This window comes from Homo sapiens, chromosome 19 (genome assembly GCF_000001405.40).
Source record: "Homo sapiens chromosome 19, GRCh38.p14 Primary Assembly".
Taxonomy (NCBI): domain Eukaryota; kingdom Metazoa; phylum Chordata; class Mammalia; order Primates; family Hominidae; genus Homo; species Homo sapiens.
In genome coordinates, this window is record NC_000019.10 from 17,114,095 (window position 1) to 17,137,089 (window position 22,995).

The 22,995-nt window shown below is 51.2% G+C and overlaps 1 protein-coding gene across 2 annotated transcripts in view, besides 7 other annotated features; it reads left to right on the forward strand.

The window, feature by feature from the left end:
• MYO9B (myosin IXB) overlaps positions 1-22,995 on the forward strand; it is a 137,510-nt gene that overhangs the window by 38,318 nt on the left and 76,197 nt on the right. The window lies entirely within an intron of this gene.
• Positions 2,209-2,708: an enhancer, noted in NCBI's record as "H3K4me1 hESC enhancer chr19:17227113-17227612 (GRCh37/hg19 assembly coordinates)". NCBI's record gives its function as "activates a minimal SCP1, AML or CMV promoter by ChIP-STARR-seq in naive H9 embryonic stem cells {active_cell/tissue: H9 hESC(naive)}" and the evidence as "EXISTENCE:reporter gene assay evidence [ECO:0000049][PMID:30033119]".
• Positions 11,521-11,910: an enhancer, noted in NCBI's record as "active region_14257". NCBI's record gives its function as "activates an Ori minimal core promoter by ATAC-STARR-seq in GM12878 lymphoblastoid cells {active_cell/tissue: GM12878}" and the evidence as "EXISTENCE:reporter gene assay evidence [ECO:0000049][PMID:35858748]".
• Positions 12,021-12,460: an enhancer, noted in NCBI's record as "active region_14258". NCBI's record gives its function as "activates an Ori minimal core promoter by ATAC-STARR-seq in GM12878 lymphoblastoid cells {active_cell/tissue: GM12878}" and the evidence as "EXISTENCE:reporter gene assay evidence [ECO:0000049][PMID:35858748]".
• Positions 16,847-17,845: an enhancer, noted in NCBI's record as "H3K27ac-H3K4me1 hESC enhancer chr19:17241751-17242749 (GRCh37/hg19 assembly coordinates)". NCBI's record gives its function as "activates a minimal SCP1, AML or CMV promoter by ChIP-STARR-seq in primed H9 embryonic stem cells {active_cell/tissue: H9 hESC(primed)}" and the evidence as "EXISTENCE:reporter gene assay evidence [ECO:0000049][PMID:30033119]".
• Positions 20,288-20,897: an enhancer, noted in NCBI's record as "H3K27ac-H3K4me1 hESC enhancer chr19:17245192-17245801 (GRCh37/hg19 assembly coordinates)". NCBI's record gives its function as "activates a minimal SCP1, AML or CMV promoter by ChIP-STARR-seq in naive H9 embryonic stem cells {active_cell/tissue: H9 hESC(naive)}" and the evidence as "EXISTENCE:reporter gene assay evidence [ECO:0000049][PMID:30033119]".
• Positions 20,898-21,506: an enhancer, noted in NCBI's record as "OCT4-NANOG-H3K27ac-H3K4me1 hESC enhancer chr19:17245802-17246410 (GRCh37/hg19 assembly coordinates)". NCBI's record gives its function as "activates a minimal SCP1, AML or CMV promoter by ChIP-STARR-seq in primed H9 embryonic stem cells {active_cell/tissue: H9 hESC(primed)}" and the evidence as "EXISTENCE:reporter gene assay evidence [ECO:0000049][PMID:30033119]".
• Positions 21,507-22,116: an enhancer, noted in NCBI's record as "OCT4-NANOG-H3K27ac-H3K4me1 hESC enhancer chr19:17246411-17247020 (GRCh37/hg19 assembly coordinates)". NCBI's record gives its function as "activates a minimal SCP1, AML or CMV promoter by ChIP-STARR-seq in primed H9 embryonic stem cells {active_cell/tissue: H9 hESC(primed)}" and the evidence as "EXISTENCE:reporter gene assay evidence [ECO:0000049][PMID:30033119]".

Genomic DNA, 22,995 nt, shown 5'->3' on the forward strand with positions numbered 1-22,995 from the left:
ACGTCTCCAGATGTTGACAGGTGTTCCCTGAGGAGCAGAACCACCCCCCAGTTGAGAACTGCTGTTTTAGGCCAACTGTATGACAAGATAGATTTCATTGTAACAGATGGTCTCTGCCTAAATATTTGTAGATTCTTTTTTTCTTGGTAACATTGTGCCATTGGAGTTACACATCAACCCGACCAAATTCGGCACGATTGTGGAGTGGCTGTTGGGCGTGGCGGGAAGCAGTTTCAGTCCGGCGTTCTCCCTCGTCCCTTGGGGGAGGTGACTGGTGTGCCTCCTCACCTCTCACTCATTGCCCACCCAGAGCCCAGGGGACGGTCACTGCTCACCCACGATCAGGCATGTCCTCGTGTCACCGATGATGAAGCGGCCCTAGGTGCGTGAGGATCTGGCTTTCCAAGAGCCTGCTCTTCCAGGTGCACTGAGTGACGTCTTACAATGTTGTTTGTAAGACTTGCTCCCCATGCCAAAAACCGCAGTCCCTGATTTTAGGACTTCCGCCTGCACTGAGAAGTAACATGCTCCCTGCTGGGGTTTTTTGCAAAGGAATGTAATCAAAGAGGTTTGCCGGTTTTCTGATCCAGGAGAGTGCTGGTTTGTGCGCCCTGGATTCTGTGGTCCTCCCTGTCCTCCTGGGGTGACTTCTTGAAACCTATGCCAGGTGCTGGCTGTGGCTCAGGTCTCGCTCCTTTAAGCATCTCCCCAGCAGGAAACAAGTCAAGAACCACTGCCGGGAAACAGGATCAGCGGCCAGAGATTCCCCACTTTGGCAGAACCATGACACGTTTCATTATCTCTTTTGGTTCCCCCAGTTGCTTTTCCCCTTTTTTTTTTTTTTTTTTAATAAAACACTTCGTCTTTTTAGTGTCTTTTCATTTTTCTTAACTTTAAAAAAAATTTTTTTTAGAGACAGGGTCTAGCCCTGTCGCCCAAGCTGAGGTGCAGTGGTCCAGTCATAGTTCACTGCAGCCTCAACCTCCTAGGCTCAAGTGAGCCTCCTGCCTCAGCCTCCAAATTAGCTGGGACTACAGCCACGTGCCACCACGCCAGCAAGGTTTCATTTCCTTTGGTATCTACCAGGGGTTGGCAAACTACAGCCCATGAGTTAAATCTGCCAGTGCCTATCTCTACAAATAAAGTTTTATTGGTGCATAACCATGCCCATGCATTTACATATCATCCCTGGCATCTTTGGCACCATGAGTGCAGAGCCGAGTAATTGCACCCGAGACACTGCATGGCCCACAAAGCTGAAAATATTTACTACCTGGCCCTTTATAGGAATTTTTTTTCCTTTGTCTACCCCAGTACATCCACCGCTTCGTAGAATGTTCCAGAACCCCATAAAGGTGACCATTTCACAGATGCCTTTTTTTTTTTTTTTTTGAAATGGAGTCTTGCTTGGTCGCCCAGGCTGGAGTTCAGTGGTGCGATCTCAGTTCACTGCAACCTCCGCCTCCCGGGTTCAAGCAATTCTCCTGCTTCAGCCTCCCGAGTAGTTGGTATTACAGGCGCCCACCACAACACCTGGCTAATTTTTGTATTTTTAGTAGAAATGGGGATTCACCATGTTGGCCTGGCTGGTCTCAAACTCCTGACCTCAAGTGATCCACCCACCTCGTCCCCCACAAAGTGCTGGGATTACAGGTGTGAGCCACTGCACCCGGCCCCCAGGTGTCTTCTTATCTTCTGCTCAGCTCCCCCTTCCCAAATGTAATGAAAGCAGCTTTCCATCCTAGATCCAGACAGCCCAGATCACCAGCTGGAATCTCTGCATTTGTATCCGTGCCATAGACATACATACGTATTCATAAACATCCATTTCCCCACACAGAGTCATAAAGCAGTTTGGGGAGTCAGGAAAGGAGGACACAGATAGAGATGTCCCACAGGGTTCGGCGGAGCTAACTCACTCTGTCTCTCTGCCCCACAGCTGGGAGTGGTAGTACAGCCCATGCATTTGGGACCTGGCTAGGCTGGCAGGAGCTGTGCGGGGTTCCCTCCTTGCCTTGAACCCCCTCACAGGGCTGAACATCAGCAGGCCCCATCTCTTGAAGGGTTTCCAGCTGCCTCCTGGGCTCTGAGATCGCGTGCATCCTGCCTGCAGGGCGCACAGTCTGCCAGGGACTCAGTGGGAAGAGGATCATGGAACCTGTGGGCCCAGAGTCACCGAGCAGGACCCTGTCATCCTCCTGGTCTCTCACACCAGCCCCCTTCCTCACTGTAGCTGACAGGGCCTGACCAGAGGTGCATGCCCAAGGCCGCAAACCCCCTAGGAGGAAGCTGGCATCTGGGGTGTCAGAAGTGTGACTAGGAGCTCAGAGGGTGTACTGGAGCTTGCAGTTGGGGGATAATTAAGCCAGAGGGCCACCTCTTTTAAGGGAGAGTGAATTATGGCATGAGGACAGGCATCCCGGAGTCAGGCGGCTGGGAACAAGGCAGTGGTCATTGTGACCCGGCAGCATTCCCAGCCCTGGTGCCTTTTCCCCAGCTCTGGAGACAAACCAGCAGGCCTGGGTGTTCCCCCCACAGAGCACAGAGAGCAGCAGGCGCTGTGAGGGGCAGCCTGGGTGGGAAAGAGGGAATGGAGGGAGGGGTGCAGACCGCAGAGAGGCCGCTCCAAGCTGAAAAATGGGGCACATCAGCCAAAGTTGTCTTTGGTGGGTATGGAGAGGATGGGGGTGCCCTACAGCTGAGTGCTGAGGCTGGAGGCTGCATTGACCCCCAGGTAGAAGGGGCACCCCACCGCCACCCCCAAATCCCCAGGTACTCCCTCGGCTTCATTTCTGTGCCCTGCCACATAAAACAACACAGCCCTGACGTTTGGAATGATCTAAGGCTATTTTAGACAAAAGGGGAAGTTATATTTTGGGGAATGCTGCATCTAAGAGAAGAGTGAAATTATGGGGTATATTTTAAGCACCATAAAAAGGTCTCCTTGGAATTTGGAGAAAGTTGATTAAAAGCTGAAGTGTAAGGTCTGGGACACCCCTGCCACAGCCCTGCCCTCCCCAAATGTTCTGGGGGTTTTACTGCTCCAGGGTTATGGAGACAGGGGACCCATCTGTCTATCGGCGATGTCAGCCTCAATGTTTGGGGCGGGAGTGTGGGCAGGCATCAATCAGCCACAGGGCCTGGCTGCCAATTTGTTTCCTAGTGATTATCCAGGATAGATCCGATTTCTGCAGGCCTCGCCCTGGGCAGCTCAGTCCCCAATGTCACAGTGCAGTTGCCACCTAAGGTTTCCTTCTGTGTGACTTGGCCACAGCAAGCCAGAACCAGCTCCTGAAACCAGTCCCCTCGAGAACCCCATTCCCGGGAGTGCCCAGAGGCAGCTTGGCATCTTCTGCCCAGCTGCTGACTGGCCCTGTGACCCCGACACGTGGTTCCTCCTGGTAAAAGAAAGAAAGGGATGACTTAGCAGTGGTCAGGCACCAGCACCCAACACCTTCCCTAGAGGGGGTTCTCTGTAAATCCCGGACAGTATCATCACCTCTTTAAGGGAGAGTGAATTACGGCCACCTCTGTCTTTGTCAGTGTCATTACAGTATTCTCAGCCCGATGCGGTGGCTCACGCCTGTAAGCCCAGCACTTTTAGAGGCCGAGGCAGGCTGATCACTTGAGGTCAGGAGTTGGAGACCAGCCTGGCCAACATGGTGAAACCCCATCTCTACTAAAAATACAAAAATTAGCCAAGCGTGGTGGCAGGCGCCTGTAATCCCAGCTACTGAGGAAGCTGAGGCAGGAGAATGGCTTGAACCCGGGAGTCAGAAGTTGCAGTGAGCCAAGATCATGCCACTGCACTCCAGCCTGGGTGACAGAGCGACACTCTTCCTCAAAAAAAAAAAAAAAAAAAAGAAAAGACATATACAGGATTCTAGTTAGCGGGTATGTGAACTGAGGTTCTTGCCTGGAGCTGATTCTGCCATCGGTTGATGTTTGGCAACTGCTGGAGACATTTTTGGTTATCATAGCTGGGGAGGGAGAGATGCTACTGGCTTCTGGTGGGTAGAGGCCAAGATGCTGCTAAACACCCCACAGTGTACAGGACGGCCCCCCTCTTTAAAGAATGACCCGGCTGCAAATGTCAGTAGTGCTGAGGCAGAGAGACCTGCTTTAGTTTAGAGGCCTTTAGAGAGTACAATTGAAAATCTGGTCTGGCGCTCTGGACAGAATCTGCAGGGAGCAGTGGTAATTCAGAAGCCACCACCTAGATGGAGGCCGGGAGCCATGGCTCACGCCTGTAATCCCGGCACTTTGGCAGGCTGAGGCAGGAGGATAGCTTGAGCATAGGAGTTCGAGACCAGCATGACAACATAGCGAGAGCCTGTCTCTATATTTTTTAAAATTTTTTAAAATGAATTTATTTATTTATTTATTTATTTATTTTTATTTTTTTGAGACAGAGTTTCACTCTGTCACCCAGGCTGGAGTGTAGTGGTGCGATCTTGGCTCACTAAAACCTCCGCCTCCCAGGTTCAAGTGATTCTCCTGCCTCAGCCTCCCAAATAGCTGGGACTACAGGCGTGCGCCATCACGCCCACCTGATTTTTGTATTTTTTGGTAGAGACATGGTTTCGCCATGTTGGCCAGGCTGGTCTTAAACTCCTGACCTCAGGTGATCCGCCCACCTTGGCCTCCTGTGATCACGCCTGGGATCACAGGCGTGAGCCACCATGCCGGGCCTGTTTTTTTAATTTAAATTTTCTTTTAAATGAAGCCACCACCTGTGTGGAGGGAGCTGTTTGTGGAAGGTGTAATTGTTAATAAGATTGTCCTCCAAGGAGGATGAGAAGACGACAAGGGCAGGCAGCCCCTGGAGAGGCCCTCAGTGCAGGCCGGCCTGAGGGGACATCTCCAGTCCTGCCAAAGTGCCTGGACCCGTTCTCGGCACCTCTCACCTCTCCCCTACAAACCAGAATTTACCAGCTCCAGGAGTTCAGAGGAATGGCCAGGAAGCAAGATGTGGGGGTTTGAGTGCAGGCTTGGCTGCCTGCATGCTGTGTGACCTGCAGCAAGTCACTTGACCTCTCTGTTCTGCCTCCTGATCTCTCACGCCCCAGGGCCTTTGCATGTGCTGTGCCCTCAATCTGGAATACTCTTGCCACCATCATCCTTTTAAGTCCCACCCAAAGGCCTCCATGTCCCTTCAGTGCCAGCGCACAGCACCACTGGGAGATTCAGAGCACAGATCCAGGATGACGGGCAAGCATGGGGTGTGGCTCCCACTGCCTTGCACCCTGAGGCTCTGAGCAGGCTCTCTTCAGCGACCCTGTGTTTCTTACAGCCGGCTTCTGGTGTTGGCTGAGGAAGAGCCAGGAATGAGCGAGTGCTGAGATGGAGTCACAGGACACTGAGGCAGCAGGGAGGCCGAGGAGGGGAGCCTGGGCGGTCCTCCTATGCCTGAGTGCGCTCCCATCCTTACTCTGGAACTGCCACGTAAAGAAAAGCAGAGATGCCCCGTGGTTCATACCTGTAATCCCAGCACTTCAGGAGGCCGAGGCAGGAGGATCATTTGAGCTCAGGAGTTTTTTGTTTGTTTGTTTGTTTTGTTTTGTTTTTGTTTTTTGACACAGAGTCTCGTTCTGTCACCCAGGCTGGAGTGCAGTGGCGCAATCTCAGCTCACTGCAGGCTCCGCCTCCCGGGTTCATGCCATTCTTCTGCCTCAGCCTCCCAAGTATCTGGGACTACAGGCACCACCACCATGGCCGGCTAATTTTTTAATTTTAGTAGAGATGGGGTTTCACCATGTTAGTCAGGATGGTCTCGATCTCCTAACCTCATGATCCACCTGCCTCGGCCTCCCAAAGTGCAGGGATTACAGCTATAAGCCATTGCGCCCGGCCAAGCTCGGGAGTTTGAGGTCATCCTGGACAACGTGGCAAAACCCCGTTGCTACGAAAAATACAAAAATTAGCCAGGCGTGCTGGCGCATGCCTGTAGTCCCAGCTACTCAGGAGGCTGAGGTGGGAGGATTGCAGGCCCATGATATGTCAAAGGCAGGATGTGTAAACCAAGATGGAGGTGATGAGGAGCAGCTTGTGCCCAACTGTCAGGAGCAGCAAGGGTCTTTGTATCATATGATCCCTCTGGGCTCAGGGCAGTGCCTGCTGTGGCTTCCCCAGACCCAAGGAGGATGCCACACAGTATACCATTCAGCGTTGGAGTGAGCGCCCAAGACAGGCTGGGCAGCCACCGCTACTGCCCCTTTTCAGAGCAGATTGGATTCAAAGGAGATTATTTAGCCATAAAAAGGAATGAAGGGCCATTCAGGCTCACATCTGTAATCCCAGTGCTTTGGGAAGCCAAGGCGGGAAGATTGCTTGAGGCCAGGAGTTTGAAACCACCCTGGGCAACATAGTGAGACCCCATCTCTACAAAAAATAAAAATATTAGCCAGGCATGTGCCTGTAACCCCAGCTACTCAGGAGGCTGAGGCAGGAGGATCGTTTGAGCCTAGGAGGCAGAGGTTATAGTTGGTGAGCCATGATCATGCCATTGCATTCCAGCCTCGGCAACAGAGCAAGACTCTGTCTCAAAAAAAAAAAAAAAAAAAAAAAAGATAGATAGATAGATATCTAAATGTATATCTCCTTTATGCTAATTGGTAACAGTCCTCATGGTGAGTATTGAATAAACTGGCTGGAGTGGGTTTGTGGCGGCAGCTCTTGGAGTATATGTTCTGGAGAGAGAGAGAGAGATATATAACAGCAGATATAGAGCAGTTTAGTCCTGACATGGTGGCACATGCCTGTAGTTGCAGATAACTCAGAAGACTGAAGCAGGAGGATTGCAAAGCCCTGGGATTTACAGGCATGAGCCCTCATACCCGGTCTGGGGTTTCTTGTTGTTGTTTTTCAAGACAGAGTCTGGCTCTATCGCCCAGGCTGGAGTGCAATGGTGTGATCTCAACTCACTGCAACCTCCACCTCCCGGACTCAAGCGATCCTCCCACCTTAGCCTCCCAAGTAGCTGGGACTACAGGCGTGCACCACCACACCCAGCTAATTTTTGTATTTTTAGTAGAGATGGGGTTTTGCCATGTTGTCCAGCCTGGTCTCGAACTCCTGGACTCAAGCCATCCACCCATCTTGGCCTCCCAAAAGGCTGGGATTCCAGACGTCAGCCACGGCGCCTGGCCTGTTGTTTTTAACACACCCGCTTACTTGTACTTGGATTGTCAACTTTTTCTCTTCCTCACCACAGCCCACTGAAGGGACACAGCAGTGGTCCCACACTGGGGTTCGGGAGATGAGGGCAAACTGAAATCTTGGTGATTCAGACTTTCTTTCCCCACTACCATAAGTGAGGGAACCCACACTTACAGCAGATATGTATTCCAAATATATATATATATATATATCCAAGAGCTGCCGCCACAGGATGACGGGTTGCTGACCACAGCTCTGGAGAGTGGGTCCAAGGGGAGCCTGGGGGCCCCAAAAGGCATCCCCCACCCCAAGTTTACAGAGAGAGGCAGTGGCACCTGCAGGGAGGGCAGAGAGGTGCTGTGGTAGCTACAGACCCTCCTTCCAGCCCTCCCTAAGGAGATTACCTTTCTTTACATGTGCAAATGTTCACTTTTGCCGCATTAAAAGTACTGGAAGGGCGCGGTGGCTCACGCCGATAATTCCAGCACTATGGGAGGCTGAGGCGGTTGGATTGCTTGAGGTCAGGAGTTTGAGACCAGCCTGGGAAACATGGTAAAACCCCATCTCTACTAAAAATATGACAATTGGCCCGGCACAGTGCTGCGTGCCTGTAGTTCCAGCTACTCTGGAGGCTGAGCCAGGAGAATCATTTGAGCCCGGGAGTTGGAGGTTGTGTTGAGCCAGGATCGTGCCACTGCACTCCAGCCTGGGCGACAGGAATGCAACCCTGTCTCAAAAAAAAAAAAAAGTACTGGAAGTCTTTGCTGTTCAAGTCCCTGTGGTTTGGAGATTGTGTGGGGAAGCAAACGTCATCTCAAGATGAAACCTTTCCAAATGAGCTGAACACTTGCAGAATGAGCCTCCACTCAGACTCCCCTCTCAGCTTAGCCTAAGGCTGGCTCCTCCCATGATGCAAATACGGTGCAAGCTGGTTGCAAAGTGAGGTTGAGAATCTTTCTTGCAAAAGATGCATTATTTCAGGAAGCCATCAAAAGTTGCCTGGAGGCTAGGCGCAGTGGCTCAGGCCTGTAATCCCAGCACTTTGGGAGTAAGAGGGGGGCAGATCACCTGAGGTCAGGAGTTCGAGACCAGCCTGGTTAACATGGTGAAACCTCGTCTCTACTAAAAATACAAAAATTAGCTGGGTGTGGTGGCATGCACCTGTAATCCCAGCTACTCAGGAGGCTGAGGCAGGAGAATTGCTTGAACCCGGGAGATTGCACCTCTGCACTCCAGCCTGGGCAACAGAGTGAGACTCTGCCTCAAAAAAACAGGTGATCTGGAGAATCACTCCCCTCATACCTCCTTAAGTCTACATGGAACAGTCTCAAAAATCATTCCTACATCACAGCCAGGTGTGGTGGCACATGCTTGTAATCCAAGATGCTCAGGAGGCTGAGACGGGACGATCACTTGAGCCCAGGAGTTTGGGACATAGACACAGACAGCCAATGACAGGCAGGTATCAGTTAGCAGGCAGGAAAGAGGTTCAACCATGGTGGACAGAGCCTTAGGAGCTAATGAGGCCATGATGCTGGTAACTTTAAATGACATCATTCAGGGCCAGTTGCAGTGGCTCATGCCTGTAATCCCAACACTTTGGGAGGCCAAGGCAGGAAGCTCACTTGAAGCCAGGAGTTCAAGACCAGCCTATACAACAAAGCAAAACCCTGTCTCTACAATAATTAAAAAATTAAACAGGCGTGGTGGTGCAAGGTGGTGCTACTCAAGAGGTTGAGGTGGGAGGGCCGCAGGACCCAGGAATTGGAGGCTGAAGTGAGCTACGATCACACCACTGCTCTCCAGCCTGGGGGACAGAGCAAGATCCTGTCTCAGTAAATAAATAATAAATAAGTAAATAAAATGAAAGGATTTTCAGCTTGGCTTGCAAGTATATAAAGCAAGTTCTGTTCCTTGCTTTATACACAAGACACACCTAAATCAAAGGGCTTCAGGAAGTTAAAAACAAAGGGGAAAGCAAGCACAGGTGTACCAGGCAGTGAGAAACGGGAGATAGCAGAGCTGCAATTCGGACATAGTTCAGGCCTCTGCACATTACATGTGGCAAAGATTGGTTATGATGCCAAAAGCCTCACTTTGCAATAAAGGTATAACACTTGTGAATATCTATGCACCAAACAACATAGCCACTGCCTTTATACAGTAGAAATTTGTGTGTGTGTGTGTGTGTGTGTGTGTGTGTGTGTGATGGAGTTTCACTCTTGTCACCCAGGCTGGAGTGCGGTGGCATGATCTCAGCTCACTGCAACCTCCACCTCCCTGGTTCAGGCGATTCTCCTGCCTCAACCTCTGAAATAGCTGGGATTACAGGCGCACGCCATCACACCTGGCTAATTTTTGTATTTTTAGTAGAGACGGGTCTTGAACTCAGGTGATCCGTCTGTCACAGCCTCCCAAAGTACTGGGATTACAGGCATGAGCCACCACACCTGGCCACAAAGTAAAAATTCTAAAAGATACAAGGAGAAACACACACACAGCTTGGTTGAGTAGATAGAAAATAGGCAAGGATGTTAAGACGCCCAAACCACATGCTTAAGGCAGACATTGTGGCCATATCGTGAACTCTTAAGAGAATAAACCTCCTTACACATACATGGAACATTCTCAAAAAATCATTTTTCTTTTTTGAGACAGGGTCTCACTTTGTCACCCAGGCTGGAGTTCAGTGGTGCAGTCTTGGCTTACTGCAGCCTCAATCTCGTGGGCTCAAGTGATCCTCCCACCTCAGCCTCCCAAGCAGCTAGGATTACAGGCACTTACCACCATCAAGTCTGGCTAATTTTTGTATTGTTTGTAGAGACGGGGTCTCACTATGTTGCCCAGGGTGGTCTCCAACTTGTGGCCTCAAGCAATCCTTCCACCTTGGCCTCCCAAAGTGCTAGGATTACTGGTGTGAGCCACCACACCTGGACTCAAAAATCATTTCTATATCAGAGTCAGGTGTGGTGGTACACACTTGTAATCCCAGCTGTTGAGGAGGCTGAGGTAGGAGGATCACTTGAGCCCAAGAGTTCAGGACCAGCCTGGGCAACATAGCAAGACCCCATCTCTACAAATAAAAATCATTCCTATGTCAGGTAAAGAGAAAGCATTTAGAACTTCCCAGAGTAGAACAATTACAAGTGACACTCTAACAATGCAATAAAACTTCGTGGAACTTTTTTTTAAAGTAAACTTATATTGAGCAACTCTTAGATGAAGAGATACAAACACAGCTGGGCGTGGGGGCTCATGCCTGTAATCCCAGCACTTTGGGAGGCCAAGGCGGGCAGATCACCTGAGGTCAGGAGTTCGAGCTCAGCCTGGCCAACATGGCAAAACCCCGTCTCTACTAAAAATACAAAAATTAGCCGGGCACCTGTAATCCCAGCTACTCAGGAGGCTGAGGCAAGAGAATTGCTCAAATCTGGGAGGCAGAGGTTGCAGTGAGCCGAGATCGCGCCACTGCACTCCAGCCTGGGCAACAGAGTGAGACTCTGTCTCAAAAAAAAAAAAAAAAAAAGGTACAAACAGACCAAAATTGCAGGTTTTCTAAAAATCAGTGACAAACACCCGTATGTTATCAGAATCCATGGGCTATATTTAAAGTGATGGTAGGAGGACACCACATAGCTGAACACCCATTAGATCCACAAATAGGAAAGAACGGAAGTAAATGAATTCATGTCCTATCTCAAGCTGAGAAAAAAGAACAAAGTAACCCCCAAAGAGAATGATTTGGGCATCAAATGGGCAAGATGAGGCCAGCTGCGGTGGCTCACACCTGTAATCCCAGCACTTTGGGAGACCAAGGTGGGCAGATCAGTTGAGCTTAGGAGTTCGAGACCAGCCTGGGCAACATAATGAAACCCCATCTCTACCAAAAATACAAAAACTTAGCCGGGCGTGGTGGCACATGCCTGTGGTCCCAGCTACTTGGAGGGCTGAGGGTGGAGAATCACTTGAGCCTGGAAGGCAGAGGTTGCAGTGAGCCAAGATCATGCCACTGCACACTAGCCTGGGCAACAGAGTAAAACCCCATCCCCCCCCCCCCAAAAAAAGGGTAAGATGAGCCCTAGGGGAAATATGATAAATTCTTCAGATGTTTTCACAGCCTTGAGAACCAAACAGGACCTTCCCCCATCAAAGCCTGGTTTGTTCTGTATTCTTTCTGTGACCTAGTACGTGGTTTCGTGATAACCTAAACCCAAATTTAGTGACATATGTAAGATTTCAGTAACTTGTTTCACACTTAGGTTTTTGTTGTTATTTAAGGCTTCCCCTACCCCACCCCTGTAGGGTTTGCTGTGAGACTTTAGCTCATGGTAGGAGTCTGTCCTTAAAGGGCCACGTCCTAGCCCTGGGAGTCCTTGCTGCGTTTCAGTGTTTGCTGTAATGCCATCTGCGTCTGTGGCTGACAGTTGGTGTCTCTTGTGAACTGGGACATACGGCGTTGGGAGCACTCAGCTCTCTGTACATCCCTGCCGTCCGTCCATCTGACCAGCAACCAGCTATCGAGAGCCTGCCGGGGTGCCCCAAACCCCTTGAGCAACCAGAAAAGAACAGAACCCGGCAGCAGCTAGGCTAGGGGCCCTGGAGAGCCTCCACTTCCTCCTCTGCGAATAGGGGAGCCATGAGGTTGGGGTGACTCTTCCACTTCCTGCCCCCACATCCGCAGGCCAACTGAGCCTGCAGCTGCCTCCTGTGCAGGCTTGGGCTTGGGGGTGTGGGGAGTCCTGTCTTGCACCACATAGCTGCCTCCTCACCTCCATGACACCCACCCCCTTCGCAGGGTCTTCCTTGTGCCTGGCTGGCATCATCCCCGACATGGCCCCCACTAACCTCCTCATTCCCTCGGCCCCGCCTTCACCACAGCTCTGAGCTCTGTTGAAAGCATCAGCTAAACTTCTCATTTCCTCGCCTCCAGCCCTGCCTGCTGGCCTCCGCCCCCTCTGCTCCCAGCTCCCAGGGAGTCTCTTCTCACCCAGCCCTCCTTGGGCACGTGACCCTGTGGACCCATTTTGTCCTGGGTGCTTCCCAGGCCTGCTCCTCCACGTCCCCACCATGGCCTCGGGAGACCAGTCACCCAGGGTGACACTCACCTCCTGCCGACCCATCCTGCTGGAACCATGTCGGGGATCCCCGGAAAACCCCATTTAACAGAGGATCCAGAACAGCGGCCCCTGGCCACTCTTTTCTCACGAAAACCAGACAGTCTGTATTTCACACAGATCCTAGGGGCCACCCAGTCTCTGTCAGAATGGCTTGACTCTGCTATTGTAACTCAAATGCAGCCTTAAGCCAGACCCAGACCGATGTGGCTGTGTGCCAGGAAAACGTCATTTGCTGCTGCTGAAAATTGAATTTCACATCAATTTCAGCCATCAAGAGATCTTTTGACTTTTTTTTTTCTTTTTTTTTTTTTTTGAGACGGAGTCTCGCCCTGTTGCCCAGGCTGGAATGCAGTGGTGCGATCTCAGCTCACTGCAGCCTCCTCCTCCCGGGTTCAAGCGATTTCCTGCCTCAGCCTCCCAAGTAGCTGGGACTACAGGCGCCCACCACCATGCCCGGCTAATTTTTGTGCTTTTAATAGAGACGGGGTTTCACCATATTGGCCAGGCTGGTCTCGAACTCCTGACCTTGTGATCCACCCCCACCCCCACCCCCACCCCCCACCCCCGGCCTTCCAAAGTGCTGGAATTACAGGCATGAGCCACCACACCCACCCGATCTTTTGACATTTTTTCTCCCCTAAGCATTTTTTTTTTTTTTTTCAGATGGAGTCTCACTCTGTCGCCCAGGCTGGAGTGCAGTGGCACAATCTTGGATCACTGCAACCTTTGCCTCCCAGGTTCAAGCGATTCTCCTGCCACAGCCTCCCAAGTAACTGGGACTACAGGTGCACACCACCACGCCCGGCTAATTTCATTTGTAGTTTGGTAGAGATGGGGTTTCACCATGTTGGCCAGGCTGGTCTCAAACTTGTGACCCACCCCCCTCGGCCTTCCAAAGTGCTGGAATTACAGGCATGATCCACCATGCCCGGCCAATTTTTTGACTTTTTTTCTCCCCTAAGCATTTTTTTTTTCCAGTTGGAATCTTGCCCTGTCGCCCAGGCTGGAGTGCAGTGGCGCAATCTTGGCTCACTGCAACCTTCGCCTCCCAGGTTCAAGCGATTCTCCTGCCTCAGCCTCCCGAGTAGCTAGGACTACAGGTGCCCACCACCACACCCGGCTAATTTCTTTTGTATTTTGGTAGAGACGGAGTTTCACCATGTTGGCCAGGCTGGTCATGAACTCCTGACCTCAAGTGATCCGCCCTCCTTGGCCTCCCAAAATGCTGGGATTATATGTGTGAGCCACCATACCCAGCCCCCTAAGCATTTTTAAAATGTGAAAACTGTCCCTAGAACGTAGGCTGTACAGTAATAGGTGGCTGGCCACACTTTGCAGACCCCCGGTAGAGATCACTGGTACCAGGAGGGTGTCCTCCATGTGGCCACACCCATGCCCCTACCTGTTTGTCTGTGACCGCTTTCCTGCCACATTGGCAGAGCTGAGCGGTGACAGCAGATGGAGCCAAAAATATTCACCACCTGCCCCTTCGCAGAACAAGTTTACTGGCCCCTGATTCACACAGAAAATCCCGCTTAATCCTCCATCTGCTAAGGCAGAGATTTTTCCAAAACCTTACCTTACAGGAGAGAAATCTGAAATCCAAGAGCCGTGAACTAATTTGCCCAAATTGCCCAGCAGTAGCCTTGAACCTCCAACCCTCCCCCTGGCCACCAGGATCCACTGAATCTTGCAAAGTGTCTCAGCAGAAGTAGCCTGCAACCTGGCTAGTCATGGTGGCTCAAGCCTGTAATCCCAGCTTTTTGGGAGGCCGAGGCAGGAGAATCACTTGAGCCCAGGAGTTCAAGGCCACCCTGGGCAACATAGCAAGACCCTATCTATACTGAAAAAAAAAAATTTTTTTTTTTAAATTTAGCAAGGCACAGTGGTATGCGCCGGTGGTCCCAGCTACTTGAGAGTCTGAGGCGGGAGGATCGCTTAAGCCCAGGAGTTTGAGGCTGCAGTGAGCTAGGATCACACCACTGTACTCTAGCCTGGGTGACAAAGCAAGACCTTGTCTCACTAAAAGAAATAGCCTGCAGCCCCATGAGGACCTGGGGGTTTATTTCCCTGGCATTTCCGTGAAGCACAGCCCCAGCTCCCAGTGGCTGCCCCATGGCTGTTTGCTTGGCAGACCTGGCAGAGCAGAACCCCCCGGTCCCTCAGGCGTCCTGGGACAGGGCACTGCCCATAGGGCTCCTGTGTCCATGAGGGCCTGGCACAGCCTTGGGATGTGGCCTCCGCCTACCGGCTTGAGCCACCGGCGCTCAGGGTCACAGCTCTCGTCTGGGTCTGACTGCTGTCAGTGTCCCCAGGTGGGCGTCACCTACTCCGTGGCCTCGGGACGAGTGCTGTTTCAGGTAGAAAGTTCTGCTAGGAACTTGGAGAATACAGGAAAGAAATAACAGGAGGTCCAAGCTGGCTGCCAGGCCCTGGCCAGTGTCATGTGGTGGTCTCCACCTTACCCAGCTAGAAGGAGAGAGGACTTTTGCAAACCAAAAAGCAAGGGGACAATCTCCCTCTTTCAGCCCCTTTCTTTAGGCTCTGTGGTGGCTCGATATTTGCAGATGTTCTTTCTCCAGCCGCAGCCTCTCTTGGCCATACCGGTCACTCCTTCATCTCAGTGCCTGCATGGCCTTGACGGGACAGGGGAGATCAGAAGTTCTGCGTGGCTCATGGCCTGAGCAGGGGGGTGGAGGCTTCACCCAGAGGTGGTGTTGCAGAGGGAGGAAGAAACAGCATCAAGGGACCGGGCATGGTGGCTCACACCTGCGATCCCAGCACTTTTGGGAGGCTGAGGCAGGTGGATTGCCTGAGCTCAGGAGTTCGAGACCAGCCTGGCCAACGAGGTGAAACCCTGTCTCTACTACAAATACAATAAAATTAGCTGGGCTTGGTGGCGGGCTCCTGTAGTTGCAGCTACTCTGGAGGCTGAGACAGGAGAATCACTCGAGCCCGGGAGGTGGAGGCTGCAGTGAGCCAAGATCGTGCCACTGCACTCCAGCTTGGGCGACAGAGCGAGACAGTTTCAACAACAACAACAACAACAACAAAAAGAAACAGCATCAAGGCTCCGGGAAGTGAGCAGCCCACTCTGTCCAGGCAGGTCCAGGGAGGCTCCCAGAGGCCAAGACACCTGAGCTGTGGCTAAACGTAACCAAACGTGTCAGGGCAGGTGGGCAGGGCATGGGCCAGGAGGGGAGCCACGGACGCGTCAGCCTCCTGCTCTTGGACTTGAGGGAGGGCGGCAGACCTTTCAGCACTTCTGTTTCCTCGTCTGAAATGGGGATGGCAGGTCTGCTTCTTAAAGGAATGCGAGTTGAAGAGGGAGTCTCGAATCCCACAGTATATGCCCCTAGTGGGCCACTCCTCACCACAGGTCATGATATGTCATAGTCTCTGTTCTCCCTAAAATGTTTTAGGGAGAATGGTTTTTTTGGTTTTTTGGTTTGTTTGTTTGTTTTTAGATGGGTTCTAACTCTGTTGCCCAGGCTGGAGTGCAGTGGTGCAATCATAGCTCACTGTAGCCTCGACCTCCTGGACTCAAGCAATCCCTCTCCCTCAGCCTCCTAAGTAGCTGGGACTACAAGTGTGTACCACCAGACCTGGTGAACTTTTCAGTTATTTTTCTTTAAGAGACAGAGTCTTGCTATGTTGCCCAGCTGGTCCTGAATCCATGGCCTCAAGCGATCCTCCTGCCTTGGCCTCCCAAAGTGCTTGGATCATAGATGTGAGCCACCTGCCTGGCCTCCCTAAAATGTTACCAGGCATTCCAACCAAGAGGAGAGCCATCCTTTAGATAGAAGATATAGAATTTTTGACCAGGCACAGTGGCTCACACCTGTAATCCCAGCACTTTGGGAGGCTGAGGCGGGTGAATCACTTGAGGACTGGAGTTCGAGACCAGCCTGGCCAACATAGCAAGACCCCATCTCTACTACCAGTACAGAAATTAGCCGGGCATTGGCCGGGCACGGTGGCTCACGCCTGTAATCCCAGCACTTTGGGAGGCCGAGGCAGGCGGATCACGAGGTCAGGAGATCGTAGACCATCCTGGCTAACACAGTGAAACCCTGTCTCTACTAAAAAAAATACAAAAAATTAGCCGGGCGTGGTGGTGGGCGCCTGTAGTCCCAGCTACTCGGGAGGCTGAGGCAGGAGAATGGCGTGAACCCAGGAGGCGGAGCTTGGAGTGAGCCGAGATCGTGCCACTGCACTCCAGCCTGGGTGACAGAGCGAGACTCCGTCTCAAAAAAAAAAAAAAATTAACCAGGCATGGTGGTGCACACCTGTACTCCCCACTACTCAGGAGGCTGAGGCAGGAGGATCGCTTGAACCTGGGGGGCGGAGGTTGCAGTGAGCCACTGCATTCTGGCCTGGGTGACAGAGCAAGACTTGGTCTCAAAAAAAAAAAAAAAATCTAGAATTTTTGCCTACATAGGACGTTCAACCCTGGATGTCTCTTTTCACAGATTCTCTGTTTGACTGAACATTAGACTCCTGAACCTTGTCCCAGTCCCATCTGTGCACTTCTTTATAAAATCCAGTTTCAGCTGAGACCCTGCTAAGTCAGTTTAACAGGAACCCTCTGCCCTTGAGAGCTGATCACCCTTGATGTCTGATCGGGCTCTGTATCTTCCCCCATACCCCAGGTACTATCTGATCACCCTGGCCTGTCTTCAGCAAGAATCCTGTTAGGTCGGTTTAGCTAGAAACTGCTGTATGCTCAGTGTTTCCTCTTAGTAATTTTCCATCCACTGACCCCCACCCTGCTCCTTGGTTATAAAGTCCCGCTTGCCCAAGCCATATTCAGATTTGAGCCCAATCATTCTCCCCCACTGGAAGGCCCCATCACAGTAGTGGGAATAAAGGCATCCTGCCCATGTGTTAATGAGTACCATTGAATAATCCTTTTTTGAGACGGAGTCTCGCTCTGTCACCCAGGCTGGAGTGCAGTGGCATGATCTCGGCACACTGCAACCGCTGCCTCCCGCATTCAAGCGATTCTTCTGCCTCAGCTTCCCAAGTAGCTGGGACTACAGGCGCACGCCACCATGCCCGGCTAATTTTTGTATTTTTCGTAGAGACAGGGTTTCACCGTGTTGGCCAGGCTGGTCTTGAACTCCTGACCTCAGGTGATCTGCCCGCCTCAGCCTCCCAAAGTGCTGGGATTACAGGCGTGAGCCACTGTGCCTGGCCCTATTGAATAATTCTTCTCTAACTTTCTCAATTCAAGAAACCTTTTTAAATTGCCCAGAAGAAAAATCTCAAAGGCAGGGGCGTTTGGAAGGCGGCCAGACTTCTTCCAGCCCTCAATGTCCCTGGTGGGCACATGGCATCCCCACTGGGCCCACACCTAGGCCAGCCCTGTCAGAGGAAGAGGCAAGACTGCCTCTACGTTAGTTTTACCTAGAAACCGTGACTGGGGGGAAGCTGAATTATGACCAATAGCTTTATGGATTTCTTTCTTCTGTGCTTTTCACGAGGTTTTTAAAATTTTTCTTTAATTTTTTTGGGGGGTGGGGCGGGGAACAGGGTCTCACTCTGTCGTCTAGGCTAGAGTGTAATGGCACAATCATGGCTCACTGCAGCCTCAACCTCCTGGGCTCAAGTGATCCTCCCATTTCAGCCCCCTGAGTAGCTGGGACTAGAGGCATGCATCACCACGCCTGGCTATTTTTTTCTTTTTTGTAGACACAGGATCTCACGGCTGCTCTTGAACTTCCTGGGCTCAAGTGATCTCCTGCCTTGGCCTCCCAAATTGCTGGGATTACAGTTGTGAGCCACTGTGCCTGGCTTATTTTATTTCTTTTTTTTTTTTTTTTTTTTTTTTTGAGACAGAGTCTTGCTCTGTCACCCAGGCTGGAGTGCAGTGGTGCAATCTTGACTCACTGCAACCTCCACCTCCTGGGTTCAAGCAATTCTCTTGCCTCAGCCTCCCAAGTAGGAGGGACTACAGGCTTGTGCCACCACGCCCGGCTAATTTTTGTTATTTGTAGTAGAGACGGGGTTCCACCATGTTGGCCAGGCTGGTCTTGAACCCCTGACCTCAAGTGATCCATCCACCTTGGCTTCCAAAGTGGTGGAATTACAGGTGTGAACGACAGTGCCAGGCCTTATTTTATTTCTTATTTATTTATTTATTTATTATTATTATTTTTTTTTTTTTTTTTTTTTGAGACAGAGTCTCGCTCTGTCGCCCAGGCTGAAGTGCAGTGGCGCAATCTCGGCTCACTGCAAGCTCCACCTCCCAGGTTCGTGCCATTCTCCTGCCTCAACCTCCCGAGTAGCTGGGACTACAGGCGCCACCACCACGCCCAGCTAATTTTTGTATTTTTAGTAGAGATGGGGTTTTACCATGTTGGCCAGGCTGGTCTTGAACTCCTGACCTCAAGTGATCCACCCACCTTGGCTTCCGAAGTGGTGGAATTACAGGTGTGAGCCACAGCGCCAGGCCTTATTTTATTTCTTTTTTATTTATTTATTTATTTATTTTTGAGACGGAGTCTCGCTCTGTCACCAGGCTGGAGTGCAGTGGCATGATCTCGGCTCACTGCAAGCTCCACCTCCCAGGTTCGTGCCATTCCCCTGCCTCAACCTCCCGAGTAGCTGGAACTACAGGCGCCGCCACCACGCCCGGCTAATTTTTTGTATTTTTGGTAGAGACAGGGTTTCACCATGATAGCCAGGATGGTCTCGATGTCCTGACCTTGTGATCCGCCTGTCTCAGCCTCCCAAAGTGCTGGCATTACAGGCGTGAGCCACTGCGCCCGGCCTATTTTATTTCTAATTGATGAAAGTTGTATATATTCATGATGTGCAACATGACATTTTGAAATACGTATACATTGTGGAAAGGGTCAATGGAGCTAATTAACGTACGCGTTACCTGACATACTCAACATGTTTTGTGATGAAAACACTTAAAATCTTCTCTCTTAGGAATTTTCAAAATACAAAAATATTTACAGTCACCATGTTATACAATAGATCGCTTGAATTTATTCCTCCTCTCTAATTGAAATTTATATCCTTTGACCAGCATCTCCCCAACCCTGCCGCCACCCCCGGTAACCAGTATTCTACTTTCTACTTCCGTTTTTTTGAGACAGGGTCTCGCTCTGTCACCCAGGCTGGAGTGCAGTGGTGCAATCACAGTTCACTGCAGCCTCAACTTCCTGGGCCTAAGCGATCCTTCTGCCTCAGCCTCCTGAGTATCTAGGACAACAGGTGTGTCCCACCACACCTAGCTTTTTATTTTTTGTAAAGATGGGGTGTCACTATGTTGCCCAGGCTGGTCTCAAACTCCTGGCCTCAAGCGATCCTCCCATCTCTGCCTCCCAAAGTGCTGGGGGATTATAGGCATCAGCCACAGCACCAGCCCTACTTTCCTACTTCTTTTTTTTCTGAGGCGGAGGTCTCGCTCTGTCACCCAGGCTGGAGTGCAGTGGCACCATCTCGGCTCACTGCAAGCTCCGCCTCCCAGGTTCACACCATTCTCCTGCCTCAGCCTCCCGAGTAGCTGAGACTATAGGCACCCGCCACCACGCCCGGCTAATTTTTTTGTATTTTTAGTAGAGACGGGGTTTCACCGTGTTAGCCAGGATGATCTCGATCTCCTGACCTCATGATCTGCCCGCCTCGGCCTCCCAAAGTGCTGGGATTACAGGCGTGAGCCACCATGCCTGGCCTGCTTTCTACTTCTGTGAGTTTTTTTTTGGACTGGGGGTACATGTGTAGTTTGTTACAGGGATATATTGGGTAATGGTTAGGGTTGGGCTTCTAAAATACCCATCACTCAAATAGTGAACACTGTATCCAATAGGTAACTTTTCAACCCTCACTCCCTTCCTCCCCTTTCCCACTATGAGTTCAACTTTTAAAAATTCTACACGAGTGAGATCATGCAGTATTTGCCTTTCTGTGCCTGGCTTATTAACATAGTATCCCTCAGCTTCATCCATGTTGTTGCAAATGACAGGATCTCTTTGTTTTTTTTTTCGTTTTGTTTGTTTTTTTTTTTTTTTTTTTTTTTTTTTTGAGACAGACTCTCGCTCTGTCACCCAGGCCAGAGTGCAGTGGTGCGATCTCAGCTCAGTGCAACCTCTGCCTCTCGGTTTCAAGCGATTTTCGTGTCTCAGCCTCCCCTGTAGCTGGGATTATAGGAGCCCACCAACATGCCCAGCTGATTTTTCTGTTCTAGTAGAGATGAGATTTTACCACGTTAACCAGGTTGGTGTCGAACTGACCTCAAGTGATCTGCCCACCTTGGCCTCCCAAAGTGCTGGAATTACAGGTGTGAGCCACCATGCTCAGCCAGGATCTCCTTTTTTATGGCCAAATACTATTCCATAGTGTATATAAACCACAGTTTCTTTATCCATTCATCTGTGGGGTTTTTTGTTTTTTTTCGAGACGGAGTCTTGCTTTGTTGCTCAGGTCGGAGTGCAGTAGCACGATCTCGGCTCACTGCAACCTCCACCTCCTGGGTTCAGACGATTCTCCTGCCTCAGCCTCCCAGGTAGTTGGGATTACAGGCATGCACCACCACACCCGGCTAATTTTTGTATTTTTAGTAGAGACGGGGTTTCGCCATGTTGGCCAGGCTGGTCTCGAACTCCTGACCTCAAGTGATCTGCCCACCCCGGCCTCCCAAAGTGCTAGGATTACAGGAGTGAGCCACTGAACCCAGCCTATTCATTCATCTGTTGATGCACACGTCTTGGCTATTGTGATTAGTGCTGAAATGAACGTGAGAATGCAAGCATTTCTTCCACGTACTGATGTCATTTCCTTTGGATATATACCCAGAAGTGGGATTGCTAGACCTAGTGAGATAATAATTTTTTTCCAAAGTTTACAACTTATATTAGAAACATGTTTTTTATATTATAAAAGAAAAAAAAATGTGTTTCTGTTAAAGGAGAGGCGTTTTTTGGTTTTGAGTGAGTCCAGCGCTGTGGGTTTTATAGCCTGGGGGGACCATGGCATCCGCCTTCCCGGTGCGTGTGCCAGATTATATCGCATAGTTGTTGACACCGGGGTCCCACTTCCTCCCTTCTGTCCACCCTGGACCCCACATGATACTCCAGGCACACCAGCCACCCTTGTGCTTTGAGACCGTGCGAGCCCCCGGCCAGCCCAGCCAAGCAGCAACACAATAGCACCCCTCGCTGCGAGCGCTGGGCCGCACTTCCCCCTCGGATGTATAATAGCACCAACCGGATATTTTTAGATGGGCTTTGAAAAGTCGCAGTGTGCTGAGACCGCATACCAGACGCGTGAGGTCACCGGGCCTGGGAGCAGCCTCTATGCATGGATAATTGGTGCACGGGGTAATCGGGTAATCGCAGAACCAGAAAGCCAGCCCTTGGGCAGCCATGGTGGTGGGAGGGGCCCCTCATATCCCAAGGCGTTCCCTGTGTTACGTTCCCAAGACACCAGGCCTGGCTGTGATATTAGAAGTCACTGCAGAGACTTGTCCCCTGGGTTTAAAGTGAGCACTGTGGCTCTTTAAGGTACAAATGTACATTTCTGGGGCACCTCTGCCACAGACCAGGCTTTACACCAAGGTACTACGGGGACCCTGACTCAGAGAGAGACCCGTTTCCTGCTGCAGACACCCCAGGGCCACCAACAGGACTGTCCCCCCCACCCCACCCCTGAGGACAGGCATCCCTTTGCCATCTGCTCATAGTTAAGCAGGGAAGCTTTCTGAGCCCCTTCCTGGGACGTTATTTTAGGGTTTCCCTGACAGATCTCTTTGAATTGAGGGTGACTGGGGAGGAGAGTCTGGTCGTGGGACCACATAGGTGAGGCTGGGCTTCGTGCTGTCAGGCAGGGAGCAAGGAGGAGGGCCTAGGCCCAGGCACCGGGCCCCAGGCTGAAGCTGATTTCCTGCGTGAGCTCCAGACTATGGCCCTGCAGGGTCCCGTGAGCATCCAAGGAGACGAGTCAGTGCCTCGAGACTGGGGGTTTCACTCCAAATAACAACAAAAAACAGTTCTCCAGCTACCCTCTGGAGAGCTGGAAATGAAACCTAGAAAGACCGCAGGGACCCCTCAGCACCTAGAATGCAGCACATATGGGAACCTATGGAAGGGACAAAGGGACCAGTGAGCCCCGACTACCCAGCCCTGCAACCCCTTTTATTTCTGTCTGTGTACATCAATGCTCCGCAGCCGGGGTGATTTGCCGATCTCTGGGGACATTCTTTGGTTATCCCAGATGGCATCGGGTAGGTGGAGGCCAGGGACGCTGTTCAACACCGTGTAGTGCACAGGACGCCCCCATCACACAGGATGGTTCACCCTCAAAAAGTCCCATAGGCACCCAGGAAAGTCAACTTCACCAGCAGAGCCCTTGGTGGTTCCCGCCCACCGACCAGCCCCCTGGGTTTCATCAGACCCTCCAGAGACTGTTTCAAAGTTCAACAGGTCAGACCGGGCCCAGTGGCTCACACCTGTAATCTCAGCACTTTGGGAGGCTGAGATGGAAGGATTGCTTGAGTCCAGGAGCCCCAGACCAACCTGGGTAACACAGTAAGATTCGTGTCGACAAAAATAATTTTTAAAATTAGGCCAGGCACAGAGGCTCACGCCTGTAATCCCAGCACTTTGGGAAGCCGAGGCGGGCAGATCACCTGAGGTCAGAAGTTCAAGACCAGCCTGACCAACATGGAGAAACCCCGTCTCTACTTAAAATACAAAATTAGCCGGGG